The sequence below is a fragment of the Homo sapiens genome, chromosome 2 (assembly GCF_000001405.40).
Source record: "Homo sapiens chromosome 2, GRCh38.p14 Primary Assembly".
In the NCBI taxonomy this organism is placed as follows: Eukaryota; Metazoa; Chordata; class Mammalia; order Primates; family Hominidae; genus Homo; species Homo sapiens.
This window is the reverse complement of record NC_000002.12, coordinates 222,537,562-222,563,633: the sequence shown is the minus strand read 5'-3', so window position 1 is coordinate 222,563,633 and position 26,072 is coordinate 222,537,562. Positions and strand designations below refer to the sequence as shown.

The 26,072-nt window shown below is 40.5% G+C and overlaps 1 protein-coding gene across 3 annotated transcripts in view, besides 1 other annotated feature; it reads right to left on the bottom strand.

Moving 5' to 3' along the window:
- Positions 1 to 1,012: 1,012 nt before the first annotated feature.
- SGPP2 (sphingosine-1-phosphate phosphatase 2) overlaps positions 1,013 to 26,072 on the bottom strand; it is a 138,634-nt gene continuing 113,574 nt past the window's right edge. For all 3 annotated transcript variants that reach the window (NM_001320834.2, NM_001320833.2, NM_152386.4), the window contains one exon: positions 1,013 to 5,287. In NM_001320834.2, coding sequence (NP_001307763.1) covers positions 4,736 to 5,287 — 552 coding nt within the window. In that variant the 3' untranslated portion in view covers positions 1,013 to 4,735. The remainder of the gene's footprint in view (positions 5,288 to 26,072) is intronic.
- Positions 24,830 to 24,879: a silencer, noted in NCBI's record as "silent region_12372". NCBI's record gives its function as "represses an Ori minimal core promoter by ATAC-STARR-seq in GM12878 lymphoblastoid cells {active_cell/tissue: GM12878}" and the evidence as "EXISTENCE:reporter gene assay evidence [ECO:0000049][PMID:35858748]".

The following is a 26,072-nucleotide window of genomic DNA, read 5'->3' as shown; positions in this document are numbered from 1 at the left end:
GAGCTCCGAGTTGTTCAAGGGGCAACTGTATTTGAATGAGGAGTGATGAAAGGAGTCTGTGAAGTCACCTCTGGACGTCACCCCCTCTGGGAGGGCCTTCTCACACTTCTTGTTCGTGTGGTTTGATTTTGCGGTGTCACAGCCCTATGCTCATCCTTTATTTCACCACCACCACCACCACTGTTATTCTTACGATCACCAACGTGGTCTGGTTTTTTTTCTTGTAAGAGCTGGAGGTGTTTGGGAAGTGCCTCAGACACGCTGTTCTCTAGCCATGGAGTACCATCTCCTACCTACTTCCCGTCACATTCCCTGTGCAAACCCCATCTGTTCTCTAAACCTCGCTCATGCAGTCTACCCCTCCTCCCAGTTCCCATGTCGTTGTTTTCTCTTCCCTACAGCCTTAACCATTTGGCTCCTGAATTGTAATTCTCTGCCCCTGTGTCTTCTCTGTCCTGCGAAAACTGCACAGGATAGGTTGGAGCTTTACATCTCATATGTCCTGCTCAAAGTACAAATAGAGTCCTAGGTCTGCCCTTGCAAATAAGGGGCAGTGTCAACTGTATGTACCATCTCAAATAGCAAATTTGGGATGCTTAAAGGCAGACCACATCATTGCAGTGATACACTGTGAATTTGAATGACGGTTATGTTTATTTGGTTCAGCAGATAGAGAACGCATCTCTAAAAACCTTTTACTTACCTTAACTAGCAAAACTTACAACATTTACCTTTCAAAACATAGTGACATTTAACTCCATATAAAGTAAAAGGAGGTTCTTTAGTATCATGGAGTAGAGGAGGGGATTTAAGGATGCCAACATGCCACTTCTTTCTTGTTACCACACCTGTGGGTCCTCCAAGGCTCTCCAACATTTGCACATGATTGGATTATGACAAGAACAGAGAATTATGTAGCCTGCCTCTTATTTTTGTCCCCTTTTCAACTCAGGTCCAATGAATTCAGAGAAAAAGATCTACGTTAAGAAAAAAATGCAAGGAAACAGAACACTGGCTTTTAAAGCATTTAATAAGTCAAAATCAAATAAAAGTGATTTTTAAAAAGAATAAATTTACATACAGTACATAAGCAAGACAGCTGAAGGTTTCTAAAATAGAAACCTGGTGCATATGGCCCCAAAACACCACATGCTTTGATTACACTCAGGAAGCATGAGTTGCCTATTTGGGTGAGAAAATCCCATGTTACAGTGCGATCACTGGGCACGTTTTGGAGTAATTCCAGCCACTGCTATGTAAGTGTTTTTAATTCAGGGGTGTCTTCTACGTTTTCATCTTCTGAATATCTTGTGACGGTGCAGGTTTGAGCAAAACTGGCATGAAATGAGAGCTGTTTTAGATGAAGATTGCAAGATGGATGGCTTGGCCCACAGTGGCAGTGGGTTGGGGGTGGAATGTGGACAATTAGGAAAAAGGCATGTCATTCTATCTGGCTCCTGGAGAGGCAGATAGTCCTGGGGGCTTTGGTGTCACAGTTCCCAAAAGCAAGGTTGGCCAGACCATAGGCTTACATTGTGGTGAGCTTGCCTTTTAAATTAATCTCCAAGATGCCAGATCGAGAGGGATGGTGGACCTAGACTGAAGCCAAACCAGTAGGGGGCTCTCTTTCCCCAGAGAGAAACTCCAAATGTCTTGAAAGGAGCCTGAACCATACCCTTTGAAGGGGCAAGCAATGGTCTGAGACAGAGAGAGGATTTAACAGAGCAAAGTGCTGTGTGAGAAATGAATGGAAGAGGGCTAGCAAGACAAGGGTGTGAATCAGGTAATGCCTTTTTCACCCCGATGAATTTTTGTCTGATTCTCACCACAGAGCAGGAGTGCTCAGAAACTGAGGTTGGCGTCACCAATATACACTTTTCATTCTCCAGTTGCAGTAATCAAATACTTTAAAAAGTGACCAACCATGACAAATCCTTGGCTCATTCTTTAATGTGCTGTGGCTGATATATTCATCCTCAGCCCAAATTAGTTAAGTACAGCCTTAAATATATCAATATAGCTGATCGGCCTTCCTATTGTTGGGACTTAAAACTAGAGACAGCAGTAAAAATTATGTATATGATATATATATATATATAAAATGATATATATATATCATATATATGAGAGGCCAGCACCCACTCTGTGACAATGATCACAATCCCTCTTTTTAAAAAATACAAGTGGGAAAAGCTGATCCTTTTGTCAGCTGGCTTCAGACAAGTCAACCACAATTATTTGGTGTAAATATCCAGTGTTGCGAACTCTGGCTGGGCAGCTGTGTGGATGAAAATACAGAAAAGTGCCGCATCCGGCTGACAGCCACTGCTCTGCAGGGGCAGATGAAGGCTGGGAGTACCTGTAAGCTAAGGCCCTTCCCCTGAGTTGTGCTGCAAATACTGGGCAGAGTTTGATGTAAAAGCAGTCAAACGGCAGGTCATCTTGATCTTTGCCTTCTAACTATAATAAATATGAGAAGAATTTTAAGTAAAAACAGGATGTTTTGCTAAAAATTCTTTTTTTTTTTTTTTGAGAGAGTCTCGCTCTGTCGCCCAGGCTGGAGTGCAGTGGCGCAATCTCGGCTCACTGCAAGCTCCGCTCACCGGGTTCACGCCATTCTCCTGCCTCAGCCTCCTGAGTAGCTGGGACTACAGGCGCCCTCCACCACGTCCGGCTAATTTTTTTGTATTTTCAGTAGAGACGGGGTACCGTGTTAGCCAGGATGGTCTCGATCTCCTGACCTCGTGGTCCGCCCACCTCGGCCTCCCAAAGTGCTGGGATTACAGGCATGAGCCACCGCACCCGGCCTAAAAATTCTTGAGAAATTGGAATGCTAAGTTACATACTAAATATCATCCCAACAGTAAGGCCGTAGAACATATTTGAAATCAAGAAAAATGTGATTTTTCGGTTTTAACACGTTAAGAGCCTCTGTAACTTTTAAGGAAGCTATTTTTTTTTCTAGAGTATGCACATGGTGATGATGTGTTGGGTTGATAAAGCACTGGCTCAGTCCTACAGGCACTAAACTTCAATGGATACTTTGTTAACTATAGTTACACTAACTTTAAAGAAAGTTCTTGATACCTGTTCTTTATTCTTAGGAACTGAAGAGGAGGGAACTCCGGTGTTTGCATAATCATCGCCTTCCCATGTTAAGAGGACTCACCCTAGTAGGCTTAATGGGTTTTGTATTTGGTTGGCTTGTTTTCCCAAGAGACACTAAAGTTGTTCTTGCATTAATTCCCCTTAAAATTGCCAAGAGATAAGAGGTGGGAAGACAAAAAGGGCGCCTGATTCTATTCAGTAGATGAGAAAATAGATTTACAGAAGGTAACTGTGAAATTGGAGGAGTAATGTCAGGGAGGCCTTGTCAGGACAGGCAATGTCAAGGAAGCCTATCCCTTCTTTGTCAGACTCCAGAAAGGATTGAGTTCATCTGTTCTTCACAGATCCACTTTCCTAGGCAGATGCCAGTGCCTTCCAGGTTTGTATGAAAGCAAAAAACTGCTGACGATGGGCAGAGGGCCTGTCCCAAACCACTAGGAAGCAGGAGAGGGCAGGAATCTCAGTGAATCCCAGATGTATCCACCTGTGCTGAAGGCTAACCCCCAACCTGTTTGGTGATGTGTGAGCAGCCAGTTGGTTTCATGGGTCAGAAGAGTGTGGTAATGGTACCTGGAATCCTGCAAAATGCATGGAAACAAGGAAGAGCAGATCCTTATTCCAACATGAACAGCAGGACTTATAAGGAAAGCAGGCTTTTCCCCATGACCTCACAGCTCTGCCTCCACCTTTCATCTCTTCACAGTGAGCTTTCTTTCAGAGTGATCTTACCACCCAACCAGGCACAGTCTAATTTGATCATAACAAGGAGGAGGCCGGGCACAGTGGCTCATGCCTATAATCCCAGCACTTTGGGAGGCTGAGGTGGGTGGATCACTTAAGCCCAGGAGTTTCAGACGTACCTGGGCAACATGGAGAAACCCTGTCTCTACAAAAATTAGCTGGGCACATGGTGGTCTATGCTTACAGTCCCAGCTACTCAGTTGGCTCAGGCAGGAGGATTGCTTGAGCCCGGGAGGCAGAGTTTGCAGTGAGCTGAGATTGTGCCACTGTAATACAGCCTGGGAAACAGAGCAAGATCCTGTCTCAAACAAAACAAAACAAAAAATCACCAAATAAACGATAAGGAAGTCACCCTGTCCAAGGAATGCCGTTTCATATGGTGCCACCCCTTCTCCTAGACCAAAGTTCCCATTTTAGAAATAACTCCATGCTAGGCAAGGTTGTAACGGAAAAGAAAGGCTCTACCTCCAGCCTCCCAGATCACCCCATCTCTACTGGCTCTCCAGAACCCAGTGGGGCTCATAGCTATTCCTAAGCCAGGCCACAATTCCTGCCAGCCCATGACTAGATCCAAAGCCCGTGCAACAGCGAGAGGAGCAGGGGCCGGGCGGGGGGGGGGGGGGCGCGGTGTGTGCCTTTAAAGATCCGGATTATGGTCTTTAGCCTGGGTTCAACTGTAGCACAACCAACCACCACGGACGACCAATGACCGCTATGAGACAGTTCTTCCTTTCACACAGCAGCATCATTTATCTGGTAGTAGCAAGACAGCCGTATGACTTTTTGTTGTTGTTAAAGAAAAATAAGTTGTCAAGATTTGCCTACCAATAACTTTCCTATGTCTTGGCTTTCATGTCCAGTGGGCTAGTTTCCAACTGTTTGAGACTCAGGGTAATCCCAGAAACCTGTGAAGCATCGGCACAAAGGTTGTAGCGCAGATGCCAACAGATGTGTAGGTAACAAACTTGTAAGGCACTTCAATCTCCAGTCTCCGCCTGGCCTCCTTGTTCCTGGTGACCACCTTGAACCATGAGTATAATACTTGCAGTGAGAGATTTTGTACAAGCTGACGAACCAAGAGGATCAACACAATTCCCACTGCAAATTTGGTCAGACCCAAAACTAACATGTAGGTGGTGAGTGGTGGGATGTTCTGAATAACAGGGAGAGATTCAGCGGGCTTGGATACAAGCTGGAAGAAATGGTTGATCCAGAATCCTATGGTCACTCCAGCCCCGGCAGCCAGAATGGTGGTGGTGTCCGCCCGGGTTGGGCTGTAGTAATCAGAAACAGGGTAATTGTAACACAGGAAGAATGGCACAACTATGACACACACGGGGAAGAGGGGGCTGGCCGAGTCCAGGCAGTCGATGAAGGTCCAGGCAGGGTAGGTGAGGACGATGAGGAGTGCGGTGATCAGGACGCCACCCAGCACATCCTTTGGGAAGGAGAGAAAAGAACAGTGTGAACCAATGAGTGTTTCCTTGTATACAGGTATAATTTGAATCAAGTATGGCTAATTTGATATTTAAAACACAATTTTTGCATTGTTTTATTTTACAGTACATGTTCAAAGAAAGTGTAAAGTTCTAAAACTTTGAAGTGAAAATACGAAAAAATGCTTCCAACAACCATACTACTCATGTTACGTATCTTCTTTCACCTTTTTTACCTTTTGGAATAAATTCTGTATTTGTTTTCTTAATGAATAACTGTAATCTCATTGTCCTTCAAACTTATATAAATCTAGTATTTCGACACTTATATCACAAATACTGTCACCGTCTTCACCGAGGTGTCACCATCCTTTCATCCACCTGGGGGTTGGGCTGCAGGCTGGCTAAAGGAGGAAGCTCGCTTCTGGGGGAGCCAAATATACACAGCAAGCACATCAGTGTTATGTAGAGGACATGTTCCTTTGGGGTGGTTTGAGGAGACATTTGGATGTGGTAGCACCAAAGTTCTTCTGCGTCAGCCTTGACACTACTACCCCACCTTCAGAGACAGGATTTCAAACAGCGTGCATACAATTTCATTGAGCAGTTGTACCATGCTTTATTTAATTAATCCCATTCTTTAGAACAGTGGCTTGCTTTATTCCATCGCCTCCTTCCTTCCCTGCTTAAAATATCTTTAACTCCTTGATGTCCCACATTTCCCTCTTTCCTTAGTCTTCTCTTTGCACAATATAATTAATCGATTCTTAGTTTCAATACCTAGAGTTAAGCACTTTCTCTAAGTTTGCATGTTTCCATATATTCTTTTTTTCCTATATGTATAATAGAATTCTAAGACTTGGTCTTGCTTTTTCTAATAACTTCATTATTTATTTTTCTTGCTTAGTGTCTAATACAATGACATCTGATTTGGATAAACAATGGGTGAGAATTAGATCTTAGAAATAATCACTAAGGCAACAGCAAGTTTCACAGATTAGTGGGCATCCATCCATCCTTCATACAGTGGTCAAGTATGAGTGCCTACTGTTTGCCAAACACAGTGCTAGAGGATCCACGTGAACCAAACATACACCATCCCCACCTGTCCTGGACCTCACGGTCTGGTAAAGAGACAGGCAGTTACCATTATTTCAGAGGGAAAGAGGCCAGTGAGGGATCTTGATGGTCCCTGGGGGCTGGAGAGAGAGAGTGAACACAGGCAGGAGCCACTTCACACAGGGCCCTAAAGTCCAACCCACGCCATGAGTACTACGTCCTGGGAGCAGCCTGAGGCCCTGAAGTAGCTCTCACTGGGTAGCAACATGACTGGGTTTTCACTTTAAAAAGATTGTCTGACTGCAGTGGGGAGGGTGGATGGGGGCAGGGAGAAGTCAGGGTGGATGGGGGAGGACTAAGGGTGGATAGGGAAGGAGTAAGAGTGGATGGGGAGGAGTGAGGGTGGATGGGGAGGAGTGAGGGTGGATGGGGAAGGAGTGAGGGTGGATGGGGAGGAGTGAGGGTGGATGGGGAGGAGTGAGGGTGGATGGGGAAGGAGTGAGGGTGGATGGGGAGGAGTGAGGGTGAATGGGGAGGAGTGAGGGTGGATGGGGAGGAGTGAGGGTGGATGGGGGAGGAGTGAGGGTGGATGGGGGAGGAGTGGGGGGAAGAGTGAAGGTGGAGGGGGAGGAGTGAGGGTGGGTGGGGGAGGAGTGAGGGGGATGGGGAGGAGTGAGGGGGGATGGGGGAGGAGTGAGAGTGGATGGGCAAGGAGTGAGGGTGGATGGGGGAGGAGTGAGGGTGGTAGGCAAGGAGTGAGGGAGGGAGGAGTGAGGGTGGTCAGGGGAGGAATGAGGGTGTGGGGGAAGTGAGAGTGGATGCGGGGGAGTGAGAGTGGACGGAGCCGGGGTTGGGGGGAGACTGCCTTTCAGAGGAAGAGTTGAGTGTCCTGACCGCCTGCACCTGGCTCCAGGGCTTTACCAGTACGCACTTCAGTTCCCCTCCACCATCCCCTCACGCTTCACCATCTCTGCAGCCTCCCTCCCTGTGGTTTCTTTTCTTGGGTGTATGAATATGCACTGATATTGCCTTAATTTTGGGGAGAAAAATCCTTCATATAGGCTTCTTGGTTACCAAAATTGAGCCAAACTCTTTGGGTTTTCTACACATGTTGCCTCCAGTCTCTCAACTTAATGTGCAGCTGCTTCTAAGCTCCTGCACTCAGATGATACGCCACTCTCAAAGGCCACTCACTGGACATTCATTGGCTGTTTCTTCAGCATCTAAGTCTTCCAACAGCCCCATATTTCCCCTTGGGGATCCATGAGGTTCTGGGAAATTATGGAGTTGAAGCACATGACCTAGGTAGGCCAATCAACGCACTGAATTCCTTTCATAGTGAATAGCGCAGGGGTAATCATGTGACCTTGCTACAACAATCAGAATGAACTGCAGGACTGTTATTTGGAATTCTTGGAGAAAGATGTTCTCTCTTTCTCTTGACATTGTGCTCTGGGATTTAAACCCTTTACTTATCAGACCTTTAAAATTCAGCTTTTATTAATGTTACCCTGAAATAGCCTGGTTCTTCTGTGACCTCTAAGAAGTCTCTTGGTTTCTTCCTTTACATCCTCCTCTTTCTGCATCCTAAACATGGGCATTTGCAGATTCTGTCTTTGAGCCTTGTGTGTTTCTCTCGAGTTTACATCGCTCCCTGGCTTCAACTCTCCATTCCCTATCAGTGTGCCTCTCAAATCCACATCTTTGAGCCTCTCTCTCAAAATTGAGGCCTGCATTTTTTGATTGAATGCTAAACATTTCCATCTGGATGTCCTGTCAGCTCCCTTAAACCAATCTTTCTAAAATAAAAATCAACAACCACCAAAAAAAAAAAAAAAAAAAAACGGATAAAAGAAATGAGCAGCTAACAGAAAAGGAAATACAAATGTCTTTTAAATATATGAAAATATCCCTAAGCTTACTTATAATATGAAAATTATGCTAGGGAGAAATTAAAACTTATGTTCCCACAAATAATGGTACATGCATGCTTATAGCAGTTTTATTAATAATCAGCCCAAACTGGAAACAACCCCAATGCCCCTGAATGGGTGAATGGGTAAATAAACTGTGATACTTCTCAGCAGTAAAAAGCAACACACTACTGATGCATGCAACAGCTTGGATGAAACCTCCAGGAAATTATGCTGAACTGAAGAAGTCAAGCTCCAAGGGATACATACTGTATGGTTCTATTTAGATAACATTCTTGAAAAGATAAAACCATAGTGATGGAGAATTGATTAGCAGTTGCCTAGGGGTTTCAGGGTGGGGGGGATGTTGTGACTCCGAAGGGATGGGAGGAGGGAGGCTTGAGGATGATGCAACTGTTCTTTATCGTGGCGGGGGTCACTCAGATCAATACATGTATTAACATTCATGGAACTTTATGCCAAACAAAGTCAATTTTACTGCTAATTTTTAAATTAAAATTTCAAAATATATTTCAGACACGTAAAGAAAAACTAAAAAGCTGGTGCTCTCTTTTGTTGCCACTGAATGCCCGCTGCTGTCTGCAAAGCAGGCTCTGGACCCCTGGCGAGGTTCCCAGTATAGTTGCTCCCTTCTCCACCTTCCCACACAAACCGTGCAGAGAATCAACTCCTCGCCTGTCCCTGCTGACAGAGATGCGGAGGTTTAACGTTCTGTTAATGAAACTGTAGGGGTGAACTGGGACTCTTTTTCATTAATCATATGAATGCAAAATGGTATAACATTTATGGGGAGGAGCCTGTCAATAGCTTTAAAAATTACACATTTATTTATCCTCCAGCCCAACAATCTCATTCTGGGACTTGACCTTAGAGATATAACTGCTCACGTTTAAAAGGACATATTTACAAGCTATCTGTTGTAGTATTGTTTGTAATAGCATCACAGTGGAAATAACCCAAGTTCCACCTATAGAGGACTCATGAAATTGAACTATGATATAGCCACGCAGTGGAATACTATGCCACTGCACAAAGAACAAGGAAGCTCTGACAAGAAATTTTAAAAAGCAAGGTGCAGAACAGTGCATACAGTATATTACCATTTCCATTTTTAAAAGCTGGGCAGATACAGAGATACTCTTTAACTTGAATACACAGAGGTGCTACTTGGATGGCTGGGTACAATCAGGAAGGAGACTTTTCACAGGATGCCCTGTGTACCTTTTGAATTTTGTGTCATGTGAATATAGTACCTCTTTTTAAAAAGTAAGATAAAATTCAGTCTCTCCTCTTCCAAACAGTATCTGCCTTTCAACTTCCACACGAGTGGGATCAGGACCCTCACTGTGTCCTCTACACAGGTTGGTGTGATAAAATCTCACCCCTGAAGCTCTGAGGGCATTCTGTTTGTGTGTTTTTAAAGGCATAAGAATTCTGAGTGGAGGAGGAGAGCCAGGTGCAATGAGCTTCACACTGCAAACAAGCCTCTCCTCTCTTGTGGGGGACAGAAGATTCTGCCACTCAGATCACCTCCCAGGCAGCTCCACTGGACTCAAGTCTGAGCCCTAACGAAGCCTGGAAGATAAAAACAGTCATTTTACCTAAATGTATAATGAATGCACAGAGCTAAAGAATGCTGCTTTGAGACTTCCCTGGCAGAGGGACGTCCAAAAGGACGAATCCTTTCTTCCTCATACCTCTAGGCCACACTGCCCTGATGGTTATTTGAATGGGAAACGTTCTCAAATTTTAGTGTGCATTGGAATCTCCTAGGAAGATGGTTAAAATGCAGATTCAGGGTACTGCCCTATGATTCTGATCAGAAGCGTGGCCCAGGAGTCTAATTCTGATGTCGTGAGTCTAAATAGAAAACTCGGAAATACTAGCATAGAGGTTTACAAAGTCTTCTATGACATGGGTTTCATTAACCTATCTTCCAGGTTTTCTCTCACTTTCCCATTTGAACTTTCTGCCCCACTCACATACGTCTATTTGCTTTTCCCAAATATGCCTAATACAATTTTAGGGTCAAAGTTTTGCATTTGTTTTATGTACAGCACACTTTAATCGCTTCCATCAAGATCTTATTGGTGCTTCTAAGGCTAAATTTAAAAGCTACTTCCTTTCCAAAATATCTTCATGTATTAACACAGTTGGAACCAACCTTTCTCTCGCTTTCTCCCTGAACTGAATGTGAAGGCACTTGCTGAATGTGACTCCAAAAGCCCTTTCTTGCATTGCCTTTTGCTATTGCTGTGTGTTGCCTGCCTTTCTTCTAAGTTGATTATAGGGTCTGATCAGCAAGGTCAGGGTCTTTGCATTATTCCACAAAGCTCCTAGCCTAGTGCCTAACACGTAGCAGACATTGAGTTACAGGAATTGGGACACTGGAATGCATTTCTCTTTTTTTGTCCTTTTTTAATGTTTTATTTCCATAGGTTATTGGGGAACAGGTGGTGGTTGGTTACATGAGTAAATTCTTTGTTTGTTTGTTTGAGATGGAGTTTCGCTCTTGTTGCTCAGGCTGGAGTGCAATGGTGTGATCTTAGCTCACCACAACCTCTGCCTCCCGGGTTCAAGTGATTCTCCTGCCTCAGCCTCCTGAGTAGCTGGGATTTCAGGCATGCACCACCATGCCCAGCTAATTTTGTATTTTTAGTAGAGACAGGGTTTCTCCATGTTGGTAAGGCTGGTCTCAAACTCCCAACCTCAGGTGATCCGCCCACCTCGGCCTCCCAAAGTGCTGGGATTACAGGCATGAGCCACTAAACCCGGCTTGAGTAATTCTCTAGTGATGATTTGTGAGATTTTGGTGTACCTATCACCTGAGCAGTAGACACTGCACCCAATTTGTAGTCTTTTATCTCTCGCCCCCCTCTCATCCTTTCCTCAAGTCCCCAGAGTCCTTTGTGTCATTCAAAACCATAATGCAATACCACCTTACTCATGCAACAATGGCCATAATAAAAAAATTAAAAAATAATACATGTTGGCTTGGATTCGGTGAACAGGAAACACTTCTACACTGCTGGTGGGAATGTAAACTAGTACAACCACTATGGAAAACAGTGTGGAGATTCCTTAAAGAACTAAAAGTAGAACTACCATTTGATCCAGCAATCCCACTACTGGGTATCCACCCAGAGGAAAAGAAGTCATTATACGAAAAAGATATTTACACACTCATGTCTATAGCAGCACAATTCACAATTGCAAAAATGTGGAACCAACCCAAATGCCCATCAGTCAACTAGTGGATAAAGAAACTGTGGCATATATACAATGGAATACTACTCAGCCATAAAAAGAAATTAATTAATGGCACTCACAGCAACCTGGATGAGATTGGAGACTAGTATTCTAAGTGAAGTAACTCAGGAATGGAAAACCAAACATTTTATGCTGTCACTCAAAAGTGGGAGGTAAATTATGAGGATCCAAAGGCATAAGAATGGAATGCCTTTCCCTTATCCCAATTATCTATAATACTTAGTACCCATTGTTTCAATATATAAATAAAAATCTGTCTTCCTTTCCTTTGTCTTCCTTTGTAATTGCTGATTTGTAACCAAATTCTCAGACATCTGGTTGAAATATTTTTTATAAATGAATTCTGTTCATCTTCAGTGCATCAGGAGACTAGACTATTTTGGTTCATAGCCCCAGCATTTGAGGCAAAAGTAATTTTAGTTAATATGGCTGTCGGTGAGATTTTCAGCCATAAAGGTGATATTGTAATAAAGACATGTAGGTATTTTTGTAAGGAAAATACTTGGACTCTAGCTAATGAGCTTTCTAATATAAGTCTCTAAATTTCTTATAATAAAATTATTCCAAACAGTTTCTAAAAATAAAGACAGTAAATACTTGAAAATTTGAAAACAACTTTTTATGTTAGTTTTTTTTTAAGCTATTAAATTCACAGAAACTATGAAAGCTCACAAAATATCTGTCTCTGAACTGGATCTGTTCTTTTTATTTTTATTTTTTTGCATATTCAAAGTTAGGAGGTTACTTCTTTGGAGCTGCATAGTGCTTGGCACAGTATGTGAGGCCAGAGGGAAAACGGTTCACGGTTCTACAGGACAGCAAGGACAAGCTATAGGGCAGATGACTGTGTAACAGAGGGGAAAAAATAGGGATAACTGTCCTGAACGGGTGGATTTGAGGGATAGGGAGAAGAGAGGAAAGAGTGCAGATGGTTGATAGGGAACATAAGAAATATATGGAAGACAGGTAAAGAGAATGGTGCAAAAGGCATGATAAGGGAAAGACATGAGAGCAAAAATGGTGAGAATAAGTATTCTTTACTTTGCAAAGAACAAATGTAAAACTCCTTCCCATAGAGAAGTATAACTAGACTACAAAGTATACAAAATATACAGCATATTCAAACACCTAGACCCAGTGATTCCACTCCTAGGAATTGATTCTAAGAAAATAACCAGAGACGATAATAAGGCTGCTCATGAAGTTTACATACAGGGATGATTCCTGTTTGGTTCTTGTTGGGTTATTTCAGCTCATGCCATTTAAGTCCAAAAAGTAACACATGCTCCATTACAGAAACATCAGAAACAAGCAAAAATGCAGAAAGTATGGAACATACATCATAATAAGAAAGACTCTAGAACAATAAATCAAGCATATTATGCTGCTTACACCAAAAATGAGATAAAAACCACGCTGCCTTATTTAATAATATAGCAGGAACATTTTCCATGTGAAAAGACAAATTTCTGCAACCTCATTTTCTATGGTTTCAAGGTAACCATAAGTGAGATGTTTTAAACAGAATACAAGCTTTACAGAAAGTATGATCCTAATTTTATATAAATATATACTTGTAAGCATGGATAAAATGTCAGAAGGAAATAAAAATGTTAAGAGTAATTTATTCTCTGTGTTGTGACATTACAGATGACTATTATCTTCTCTATACTCCAGGATCTTCCAAATTTTCTAGTCAATACCTGTTATTTTTATTATAATAAAATGAAATCAAGGAGGAAAAAAATCAGAATGTGAAAATCAAAGTGTTTCAAAACAGACTAAACTAGAAATGATTGTTTATAATTTTCACATCATGCCAAAAAAAGAAATATCCCTAAGAATCTATATGATAAGCAATATACCATTCCTCCATGATCCAAGTAACTTTTAAAATAAAGGCATACAGGCTGGGTGCGGTGGCTCATGCCTGTAATCCCAGCACTTTGGGAGGCCGAGGCGGGTGGATCACGAGGTCACGAGTTCAGGACCAGTCTGGCCAATATGGTGAAACCCTGTCTCTACCAAAAAATACAAAAAAATTAACCAGACGTGGTGGCGCGTGCCTGTAGTTCCAGCTACTCAGGAGGCTGAGGCAGGGGAATTGCTTGAACCCGGGAGGTGGAGGTTGCAATGAGCTGAGATTGTGCCACTGTATTCAGCCCGGGTGACAGAGTGAGACTGTCTCAAAAAAAAAAAAAAGAAAAGAAAAGAAAAGAAAAAGCATACAAGATGTGTTTCCAGCCTTACCCTATGGATTGCATTGTTTGAAATACAGTCAACCTTTAATTCAGTTTGCCATCCAAGGTTTATATGTATCCTTTTAAATTATTTGGAAAAAAAAAGGAATCATTACACAAAACTAACATTTTCCAACGTTCAAATGCAGAAAGTTCTAAATCGCTTTGATTTTTTAATCTATTTTCATTTTCAGTTATAAAACTTGATATTTAGGTAAAAGCTTGAGCTTTATTATATTCTCATTACAGGAAACAATAATAGAGGCAGACAAGCTCCAGTGTGTAGAAAAGAATGCTAATAGAGCTACCCTAAGCATCAGAACAAATTTTAAAAGTAAATGCTTATATAAACACATAAAATAGAGTGTTTTCATTCTTAGCCAAACAGAAACACTCCTTTTTTTAGTGAACATCACTGGGTATCTCAACAGCAGACCCTAAACCTGAAAACTCCCAGCATTTATTAATTCTGACCCTACATCACATTCCCATATGCAGTTTACTGCGACAAATTTCCATTCTATCTCCAAACATCTTCCCTGAAGAATGCTATTGAACAGGCCAACACAACACAAGGTTAGCGCTAGTGAGAAAGAAAGGGAGAGAACAAACCCATTCAGTCAATTGTTAGGAAAGAATGCATTCAGATCTTGAAACTATTTATGCTGAGAACTCTATGATTCTGGCATCTTCCCCTCTGCCAGGTCCCCTGCTGAGAATGTGAAGGGACTTCTCTGCCCTTGGCTGCCTTCACAGAGTAAGCTGAAGCCAGGAGCAGAGTAAAAGCCAAGACCCACTTCTTTGCAGATGCTGCGAATGCTTTGTAGGCAAGCAGACACTGACATTAAAACAAACTGAAACAAACCAAAACACTGCAGTTACTCTAGAAAATAACTTTTAGTCATAGATCAGTCAATGTTTCCTAGTTAACAGACTCAGAATATTTATTCTTTTCTATGCTAGCTCAAAATGAAATCAGTTGCTGAGAATAATGCAGATGAGATTCAATAGCAGCCAAATCACAAGGAGGAGGCAACATTATTCATGAATATGAATATAAATGATTACGGAGAGAAACCTACATGTAATTAGCATATGTATAGGGGAGAAGAGTGAATGCATAAGTTCAAAAATATTAATTTCCTATTGAAAGCACATCAATGTCCATAGGGATCAGTCAAAAGCAGGAGGCTGATTTACCTGTCACATGGTATGAGCAAAAGCAGTAGAATCGCCTGATACGAATGGGTCTTTGAGTGGGCACTCTGTCACCGAAAGCATGTCTTTTCCATGTCATGACCGTCCTCTGAGCCACCTTAGATATCCCAGCATTGTTACAAGTCTAGAACTAAAAATCACTAGGTGTGGAAAGAGAAGACTTTGAAAAAGACTGAAAACTGACTGAGGCTCAGGAGTAACTACATGAGGTAGAAAAAAGTATGTCAATTTGCACCTTCTGTAATTTTAGAATAAATGTCCACTTGGAAAGTGAGCATATTTAAACCTGCAGTTGAAATTGACATTTTTAACAGAAGATGGTTTTCTATAAGTGTGTTAAGAAAAATTATACAAAACATAGACAGAAGGTAAAACCTGATTTCCATGTCATATGGGGGCAAAGGCCACCCCAGGATTATAAAAGGGAAAGTACTTTGTTCAACTTATTGTTTACTATTGATTAATGATCTCAGACTTAGTGAAATGACAGGTTAGCTGGTAGATTTTTATCTGGTTGAAATGCAAATAATTTCAATTTGGTGGAAATGAAACCTACAAAGGTTACAGTTTGTTGCCCTGTAGGATGGTAATAACCCTGTAGGACACATAACTAGTTTTGTATATAACCCAGAAATCTCAATGTAATATTTCTTTATTAGATTGTCTATACATACTTACTAGTTCCTTCATTAAATCTTACTGGTACTTTCATTAATTAATGAATTTAATAAAATCTTTCACACATATTCATTTTATATTTGGAAGGGAGTTATGATTTTACCATTTAAAAATTATACCCTAGCAAGTAGATAATTATTTCAGTGTTTATTTATATGACTAAATATTTATAAGGAAAATTATGTTAGATGACTGAATATGGATATTGCATGTAAAAACAATTATAATTTTAATTTTGCTTTCCTTTGTATGTTCTCTTTAAATGGTGCTGGTTTGCTAAAAGGTAAGTAAGGCAGGTATTATGTTTCTCGATGTGATAATATAATAGTATAATAGTATAGTATAATTTGCATACTTTGTATAATATCAATATTAACTGGAAAAGTATTTGAGTATACCATATATTTCTAAACTTTATTTCATATGAAGCATGATTTAGGATATAATCACTTGCTTGTCTTGACTTCACAGAATCTAACAAGTCCAAACAGAGGTCTTCATGAAACAGACAAAATTTCCCCACCCATAATTCACATAAATATGAACCGTTCTAATTATAATGGATCACAGGATTTGGCAGGTCAATAGGATTGTGACATTAGATCAAACAAGCCTCCAGGCAGGTTATAACATCATCTTTGACAACTGCTAAGCAGCTTGCGAGAATGACAAGCCTAGGGAAGGGCAATCTGCTAGAAGACACAAAGACACTGTCAAACATTCAAGCGATTTTGCTCAAATCTGGGTGGGCAGAGGGGCCTCTGAGCAATAAGAGAACAGAAAAGAGTTACGTTGGACGCTATATAATTGTTAAGCAGGCCCATGCAGGTTGACATTTAATTGGTATTGTCACCATATTTGCTGGGATGTGCATCTACACTGTTTCAGTGCTTTTCAAACTGTATATTGCATTCAGGTCTCCTGGGAAGTTTGTTAAAATGCAGGTTCTAATTCAGTAGGTCTGGGAGGGGTCTGAGAGTCCGCATTTCTGACAAACTCCCAGGTGACACTGAGGTTCCTGGTCAGAGGATTCACCTCACTAAATCACAGAGGCCAATGTGAGCTCTTCATGCTAAAGGGGACACATCAGAGCTTCTGGCATGTTCTTTTTTTTTTTTTTTTTTGCAACATGTGTAAAAGAATAAAAACGTCTGAATTATATTAGTGCTTTTGTCGTCTTTGAAAGTCCTAGAGTGATATTCCAATATAGTAATACATAAGCGCAAATAGGCACAAGAGAAAAATCTGGAAATTCTTTGTAGACCTGGAGACATGGGTGCTCTCATGCAGAGGAAAGTAAATCTATCCCAGCCCTTTGTCACTGACCTTGGGAAATGTTGCTTGAGCTGTTGAGTCCTGGCTCCTGTGCAAAAGCAAAACTCCCTGGGGAAATACTTTATATCCCTTCTACATACTAGGAACTAGAGATTACTGGAGATTTTTAAAATGTTAGTTTTTTGCAGATTGTTCCAGTGAAGTCAAATATGGCCATGTTCTCTTTTTGATGAGGCTGGACAATCTCACTTACAGAGATTGTGACATCCTTGTTATTAAGTATGTTTCAAGAGAGCAGAAGGTTAAGCCATTTAATGTTATTACAATGGGGAAGTGACATCCAAGATGTAATGAGGTACAAGATTGTGGTGGTTGGGTGACCCTTTGCTTTCAGAAATGCGGTGAGTGCTCAGGATTATGGTGTGGAAATCCAACTATGCCACAGGCCTATGCACATGAATTAATTTTATGCAGGTGTCAGGGCTTTAAAAAAATCAAATAAATCATAGCACTTACTGGAAACCCTGTGTGAATTTAAACATATGATACATGACATGTTTATTTCCTTTCCCAAGTGAGCATGTTTTAAGGACCATTCCCACAGGCATACGTAAACACAGACCTTAGCAGTGTTTTGAAATTGAAATGAAGTTCCAGACCTTTAGCTAATTTTCAGAGCATAGCTGCAAGCCAGCTACTTTGCTCTTCTACAGTCGCTGTATCCAATCAGCGTGCATCAATTCACCAACAGGATATATTTTGGTAACAGACCAGTTCTCAGGCAGTTTTATGGCTGTGATGGATAAACAATCCATTTGCCCTTTTGTGATGGGCTGGAATCTGCTATTTCTCTTGACAGGCTACTTGGCCCGGCTCAATTCTGAACTCTTTAAGGTGGAATTTCTCATTTTGAAACAGCCACCACAGAGAAGGGAAGGATAGATATTAATTCTTTTGAGAACATGGTTCCCTTTTTCAATTGTATTTGGGAGGTAGGGTTGCAATGATTAAGAGAAATCTTGCAAATCAATAGTTTGAGAGTTTTAAAACTGATTCCTAAACAATAACAGACAAAAGACATAAGCTCTTTGAAGGCCAGGTGTGGTGGCTCACGCCTGTAATCCCAGCACTTTGGGAGGCAGAGGTGGGCAGATCAATTAAGGTCAGGAGTTCAAGACCATCCTGGCCAACATGGTGAAACCCTGTCTCTACTAAAAATACAAAAATTAGCCAGGCGTGGTGGCACATGTCTGTAATCCCAGCTACTCAGGAGCCTGAGGCAGGAGAATCACTTGAACCTGGGAGAAGGAGGTTGCAGTGAGCCAAGATTGTGCCACTGCACTCCAGCCTGGGCAACAGAGTGAAACCCTGTCTCAAAAAAAAAAAAAAAAGCCATAAGCTCTTTGAAACCCATGTACTTGTTTGATTGCCAAAGTTTACATTAAGCGTTGTTCTGTTTTTAAAAAAGAAAAAAAGACACGGAGCGAAGAAAGAAATCATAATAAATGCAAGTACCAGTGGAAAAAGTAGAGCTATTTTTCATTGCAGTAAAGTCTAAAATCTTTCCTCTCTTCTAGGAAATCCTCATGTAAATAATAATAGAGCTCAAAAAATTACTTGTTCAGTCATTCAATAGCTATTGTGCTTTTATTTTTCATTAGCTATTACTTACTGAGAAATATACTTAGATAGGAGGAGAATAAGAATACTCTCTGTCCATTAAATAAAAATAGCTTTATTATTTTATAATAACAAGTCAGGCCCACTATTAAAAGTGCATTTCAGAGCCCCTTGTCCATAACTAACACCCCATACACGCTCACAATTTTGTAACACTGGCACCACACTGTACAAGCTGTTCTGTAACTTTCTTTTTTAAAAAGATTAATAATATGTCACAGGCACCTTTCCAGAATAACAGAGCTATATTATAGTTGGCCCTCCATATCCATGGGTTCTGCATCTGGATTCAACCAATCTTGGATCAAAAATATTTGAAAGAAAAATGGATGGTTGTATCTGCACTGAACATGTACAGACTTTTTTTCTTGTCATGATTCCCTAAATGATAAAGCATAACAACTATTTACACAGAATTTACATATTAGAAACTGTAAATAATCTAGAGATGATTTAAAATGTATAGGAGGATAGGCATTGATTATATGCAAATACTATGATATTTTATATAAGGGAATTGAACATCTGTGGATTTTCATAACCATGGAGAGTTGTGGAACCAGTCTCCCACCTATACCAAGGGAAAACTATATTTTAAGGCCTGTATAATATTCCACTCTATGACTTTATTTAACAAGATCTGATTGATGGATATTAAACATATTTTCATTGTTTGCAATTAAATGCATTCGTGAACATGTTGGAGGCATAGTACAGAACAGTAATTCAAAGCATGCATTCTGTAGTCAGCCTGCTTAACTTAAAATCTCAGTTCAGCCTTTTAACAGCTACACGACCTTGGTCAGGTTACTTAACTTCTCTATGTCTCATCTGTAGAAATGGGATAATAATAGTGCCTCCTTAGTTTTCTGCTAACTACCCTATGAGGTAGTTAATATATGTAAAGCACTTAGAATGGCACTTAGCAGATCAAATGCTTAGAGATACATCTAATATATGATAGGCAAGACCTCTATACAGAAAACAACATTAATAAGATAAACTAAAGACCTAAATAGAGGGATGTGCCATGCCCATATATTGGAATAGTCAATATTACAAAAGATACCAGATCTCTCAAATTAATCTATAGATTCAATTTAATCCCAAGAAAAAGTCCAGCATTGGAGAAAATGAAAAGCCGATTCGAAAATTTATATGAGAATACAAGAATAGTGAAGATAATTTTGAAGAACAAAGTTAGGGGCTGTCACTATCTGATACCAATACTTATAACAAAACTGCAGTAAATAATGACAGTGGCACTGGCATGAGGATAGACAAATAGACTAATGGGAAGAGTACTGAGTACAGTCCATGATTTTGTCTTCTGTGGTTTCAGTTACCCATGATCAACTGTAGTCCAAAAATAGGTGAATACAGTACAATAAGCTATTCTGAGAGAGAGACCACATTCACATAACTTTTATGACAGCATATCGTTATGATTGTTCTATGTTATTATTGGTTGTTGTTGTTAATCTCTTACTGTCCCTAATTTATAAATTAAGCTTTATCAGAGGTGCATATGTATAGGAATAAACATAGTATATATAGGGTTTGGTACTACCTGCAGTTTCAGACATCCTTTGAGGGTCTTGGAATGCATACCCTGAGGATAACAGGGAACGACTGTATGCATAAAGTCACTTGACTTATGACAAAGTTGATGTTTCTGTTAAAGGATAACGGGTAACCCTTTCAATAAATGGTGCTGAGTAAATTGGGTATTCATGTAGAACAAAAAGGAATCACAGATCAATTCAATGTAGATTATAGATCTAAATAAGAAAAACAATAAAACCTCACAAATATAATAACAGAATATCTTTATGACCTTTTAGTAGTCAAAAAATATCTTACACAAGACACAAAAGTTGTAACCATAAGGTAAATATTGATGAACTGGACTACATTAAAATGAAGAACTTCTGTTCACCACAAGATGCCAATAGGGTGAAAAAGCAAGCTACAGAGTAGGAAAAGCTCCAGCTTAGGTGACATAGCGAGACCTCATCTCTATGAGTAATAATACAAATTAGCTGGGCATGGTGGCACACGACTGCGGTCCCAGCTACTCAGGACCCTGAGGTGGGAGGATTGCTTGAAGCAGGGAGGTCAAGGCTGCAGTGAGCCTGCATGACAGAATGAGACCTTGTCTCAAGAAAAAAAAAAAAAAGGAAAAGAAAAAGAAGTTTGGAATACATGTATCTGATCAACAACTCACCAATAAATCAGTAAGTGAAAGTTAAGCAATCCAATAAAAAAAATAGGTAAAAGACAAATCGTCACCCCACAAAGGAGGGTATCTAAATGGCCAATGAACATACAAAATGAAGCTAAATGTCATTATTAGGAGAAATTGAAACCACATGAGATACGAAGATGTACTCACAAGAATGGCGAAAATAAGAGTGATATTCACAAGTGCAAATAAGGATGTGGAGAACTGGAAATCTTAGTCACTATTGGTGAGAATGAAATTGTTAAAATTCTTTGGAAAACAATGGAACATACTAAAGCTGAACATATGCATGCCTCAGGACCCAGTAATTTTACTTCTGCGTTCATACTCAAGAGGAAAATGTACATATTTGCTCTAAAAGGCACATAAAAGAAAGTTTGGGGTAGTGTCATTTATAGTAGCCTCAAAATGGAACCAGTCCAAATATGCATCAATAGCAGAAGGGATAAAGTGTGGTATATGGTCATGAGTTAGATGCTAAACAACAACAAAAATTAATGAATGAGAGCTACATACAGCAACATGGTGAATTTCACAAATAGAACAGGGAGTAAAAGAAACCCGATACAGAACAAAGCATACTGTGTGATTACATTTATATGAAATCCAACTAATCTATGGTGTCAGAGATTTGGGGAGCGGGTACCTTTGGGGAGATGCACAGTAGAAGGTATGAGAGAACTTCTGAGGTACTGATAATGCTGTATTTCCTAACATGGGTGATGGTTACTGAGGTGCGTGTTTACTTTATTGGAAATTAACCGAGCTGCACATTTACAATTTGTTTACTTTTCTCTATGCACACCACAGGTTAATAAAAATTTATAAAGTTTTAAATTGTTTTTCTTACCCAGGCACAGTGGCTCACACCTGTAATCCCAGCACTTTGGGAGGCCGGGGTGGGTGGATCACTTGAGGTCAGGAGTTCAAGACCAGCCTGGCCAACCTTCTCTACTAAAAATACAAAAATTAGCTGGGCATGGTGGTACATGCCTGTAATCCTAGCTACTCGGGAGGCTGAGGCACGAGAATCACTTGCACCCAGGAGGCAGAGGTTGTAGTGAACTGAGATAGCGCCACCGCACTCCAGCCTGGGTGACAGAGTGAGACTCCATCTCAAAAATAAATAAATAAATAAATAAATAAATAAATAAAATAGTTTTCTTATTTTGAACCAAAAAAGTGGGGATGCACATTTCTTGTCCTATACAAGTAAGCCTCTAAAAGTCTCTTCTTAATCTCTAGGCACTACTTACACACCTATATCCAGATAAAGACCTAGGTACCAGGCCTCTATGAAATTTTCAATTCCATTAGGAACTGTAGAACTTTCTTCTCCTTCCCTGGCTATGCTGTCCTTCCATTTATTAAATGAAGTGTGCAAAGCATAAAACAGCATGTCTTGAGATACTCTTGCAAGCAGTCTTCCCTCTGTCCTAAGAACTGGTGCCTCAAACAGCCCCAAAGCCTCATGCTGCTGACACACTGCTCCATGGTCGTTTCTTACACAACTCCACACTTGCCACAGTTAACTTAGAGTTTTAGAAACACGAAAGTGGGCATCCATGCTTGGATGATATTTGCTGTTCCAAGACACTCTATTACATTTTTTACAAGTCAAAGTTTATAAGCTGGCCGGACGTGGTGGCTCACGCCTGTAATCCCAGCACTTTGGAAGGCTGAGGCGGGTGGATCACGAGGTCAGGAGTTCGAGACCAGCCTGGCCAACATAGTGAAACATCGTCTCTACTAAAAATACAAAAAATTAGCCGGGCATGGTGGTGGATGCCTGTAGTCCCAGCTACTTGGGAGGCTGAGGCAGGAGAATCACTGGAACCTGGGAGGTGGAGGCTGCAGTGAGCTGAGATCATGCCACTACTCCAGCCTGGGCGACACAGCAAGACTCTGTCTCCAAAAAAAAAAAAAAAAAAACAGTTTATAAGCTAAACAAAATTATGCTGAAAAAATAATAAATGTATAATGTATGATCTGGCCTGGGCTCCCATGTTAAATCCAATATTCAGACTAATGGATGAATCTTGTCAAATCTGACTCAATAAAGTGCAGATAAATAAGGGAGAAAAAATAGATTTATTGACAGATGACAGATAATATCCATTGCAATCCACTTGACATTTACTGCGCACCGTTCCCAGGTGTTCTGCTGGGAACTGTGTGCTGGGGGAGAATGTATACAAAGGCGAATAGAATAAGATTCTTACCTTCAAAGGACTCACAACCTACTGTGATGAACAGACATGAATATAACCAACCATATGCTTATGCAATAGCTTTCTCTGATTGTTAATACACTGATATTTATGCAGTACAGGTTCAGCATCCCAAATCTGAAAATTCAAAATTTGAAATGCCCAAAATCCAACACTTTTTGAATACTGACATGACATCACATGAAAAAATTCTACACCTGACCTCATGTGATGAGTTGCATATGTGATTAAAAATACTGCATAAAATTACCTTTAGGTTATGTGTACAAGGTGTATATGAAACATAAATGAATTTCATGTTTAGGCTTGGGTTCCATCCACAAGATATGTCAGTTGGTACTTTCAAATATTCAAAAATCTGAAAAAACCCCAAATCCAAAACACTCCTAGTTTCAAGCATTTCAGATAAGGTATACTCATCCTATATGACCGAAGAGACTTTGGAATGAAAATCTCTTAAATGTCATTTTATCTACTGAACTAGAAATATTTGTGTTTAACATTAAAATAAACAAACATCAGGAAATTCACATTCTTGTCTTTTCTGTTGGTAAATTGTCATTTTTCCTAGGAAGCCCACTCCTAGGAAATTATCCTAAGCATGGTTTCCCATAGTAAGCTGAGAAGTAACTAGATGACACCGGAAAAAGGGATCCCAAAGCGCAATGGATGTGATCAACTGGCACCCTGTTAGGTATCCATTTCTACCTCCCACCTGAACTGAAGATGTTGGAAAGATAAAAATGGCTCCCTTGGAAATTAGGTTCTACCAGTTTGATGCCTTCTTGCAGAATCTAGAAGGTGGCATGGAGGTTGAAGCCATCTTCCTCCTGCTGTTTCTGTGATCTGGCAAAGCCTCAGAAACGTGAGCTCCAACAGCAGGACTAAGGATTCCAGTGTCTAGTCACTGCTGTCAGTTTTCTAGAGGCAACCAAGGCAGCTACAGTGGCTGAGTTCAGCCTAGTGTCTGGCCATCTGATTGGTGAGCACTGAGAAGTGGGAGGTGGAAGACGGAGATCTGGTAGTGGTGCCGGACACTGAGTATAGCAATGATCTCTGTGCTCCCCAAGCTCCTCCAATACTTTGTAAGCACCACATTCCCTGTATAAAATTCCATTTTGCTTAAATACCTAGAATAGATTCTATTTTCTCCTCTAACATACAGCATTTAACAATGCTAAACCAGTTTCTTTGATTTGAAAATATTTAAGAACCTTTATAATTATTTTGGAGCTTCAAGATTTAATGGCTGCCCTGATGGGTTTTGGACTCACATGGGGCCAGACTGCGGCCCCTTTCTTTTGGTCAATTTCTCCCTTTTTGAATGGAAGTATTTACCCAATCCCATCGTTTCTTGGAAGTAACTAACTTGTTTTTGATTTTACAGGCTCCTAGACGGAAGGGACTTGCCTTGTCTTAGATGGGACTTGGGACTCTGAACTTGTGAGTTAATGCTGGAATAAGTTAAGACTTTGGGGGACTGTTGGACAGTCATGATTATATTTTGAAATGTGAGAAGGACATGAGATTTGGGAGGGGCCAAGGGCAGAATGCTATGATTTGGATCTGTGTTTCTGCCCAAATCTCATGTTGAATTGTAATCCCCAATATTGGAGGTGGGACCTGGTGGGAGGTGACTGGATCATGGGGGCGGATCCTTCATGAATGGTTTAGCACCATCCCCTTGGTGCTGTTCTAGTGATAAGAGTTCTCACGAGATCTGGTCATTTAAAAGTGTGTGGCACCTCCCCACTCTCTTTCTTGCTCCTGCTCTGGCCATGTAAGATGCGCCTGCTTTCCCTTCCCCTTCCACTATGACTGTAAGTTTCCTGAGGCCTCCCCAGAAGCAGAAGCCACTATGCTTCCTGCAGAACTGTGAGGCAATTAAGCCTCTTTTCTTTATAAATTAAAACAAGGAAGCTTCATATACAATTGAATTGAGGAAGGGCAGAGGACTTGGCACAAACTGCTTCAGGAATCCCTTTTTTCCTCATCAGAGAATCTCCCGGGACTGCTGTTTTATAGAACACTGTATAAAATGCAACAGAGAGGATCACCTTGCTTTTTTTCACTCAGTGATATAACAGATTTCTATGTAACAAAATTTTTAGAGTCTCTTTAGAGTTTATTTTTTATTTCTCTACAAGAAATCTCTCTCTGTCTCTCTTCCTCTCCCTTTCTCTCATATGCAGGAGTACAATTTAATTTTTAAATTTATATACACTAAAAGTTACTCTTTTTTGTTTACAATTCAATGAGTTTCAACAAATGCTCAGAGTCAGGTCAAAACCACAGCAATCAGTTGCATAATTCCCCCCAAAACTCCTTCATGTAGGAGGAAGGACCAAGCCCTCCTACCACCCCAATTCCCAGCAACCACTGGTCTCTCCATCACTATGCCTTTGCCTTTCCCAGAGGTCACAGAAATTAAACAGTATTTAGCTGTTTGAGTTGGCTTCTTCCATTTAGAATAATTCATAGGGGAACCATCAACATGTTGCATGCAACAGTTCAGTCTTTGTTACTGCTGAGTAGTAACCATTGAATGGATGTACCATAGTTTGTTTATCCTTTTACCAGTTGAAGGACATCAGGTTGTTTCCAGGTTTTAGAGATTAGGAATAAAGCTGCTACATCAATAAAAATTACATAATATTAGATAGCTGAATATCTTCCCATATCTTGATAATACCATTCATTTCATTGGATAAATCCTTACTGTTGTACGTTAGATCATTTCCAATGTTGTACTATTTTAAATAACACTGCAACTTCATTTAAGTGTCTGTATGTATTTGTTCCATTATTCTTTAGGACAAGTTCTCAGAAAAAGTTCCTGGGTCAAGAGGTATGCATCACACATTTTACTACTTTTGATACATATTGCATTTAAATGTCCCTTAATGAGAATGTTCCTTTACTCATAGCCCCTCATCAACCTTGACTGTTATTCTTTT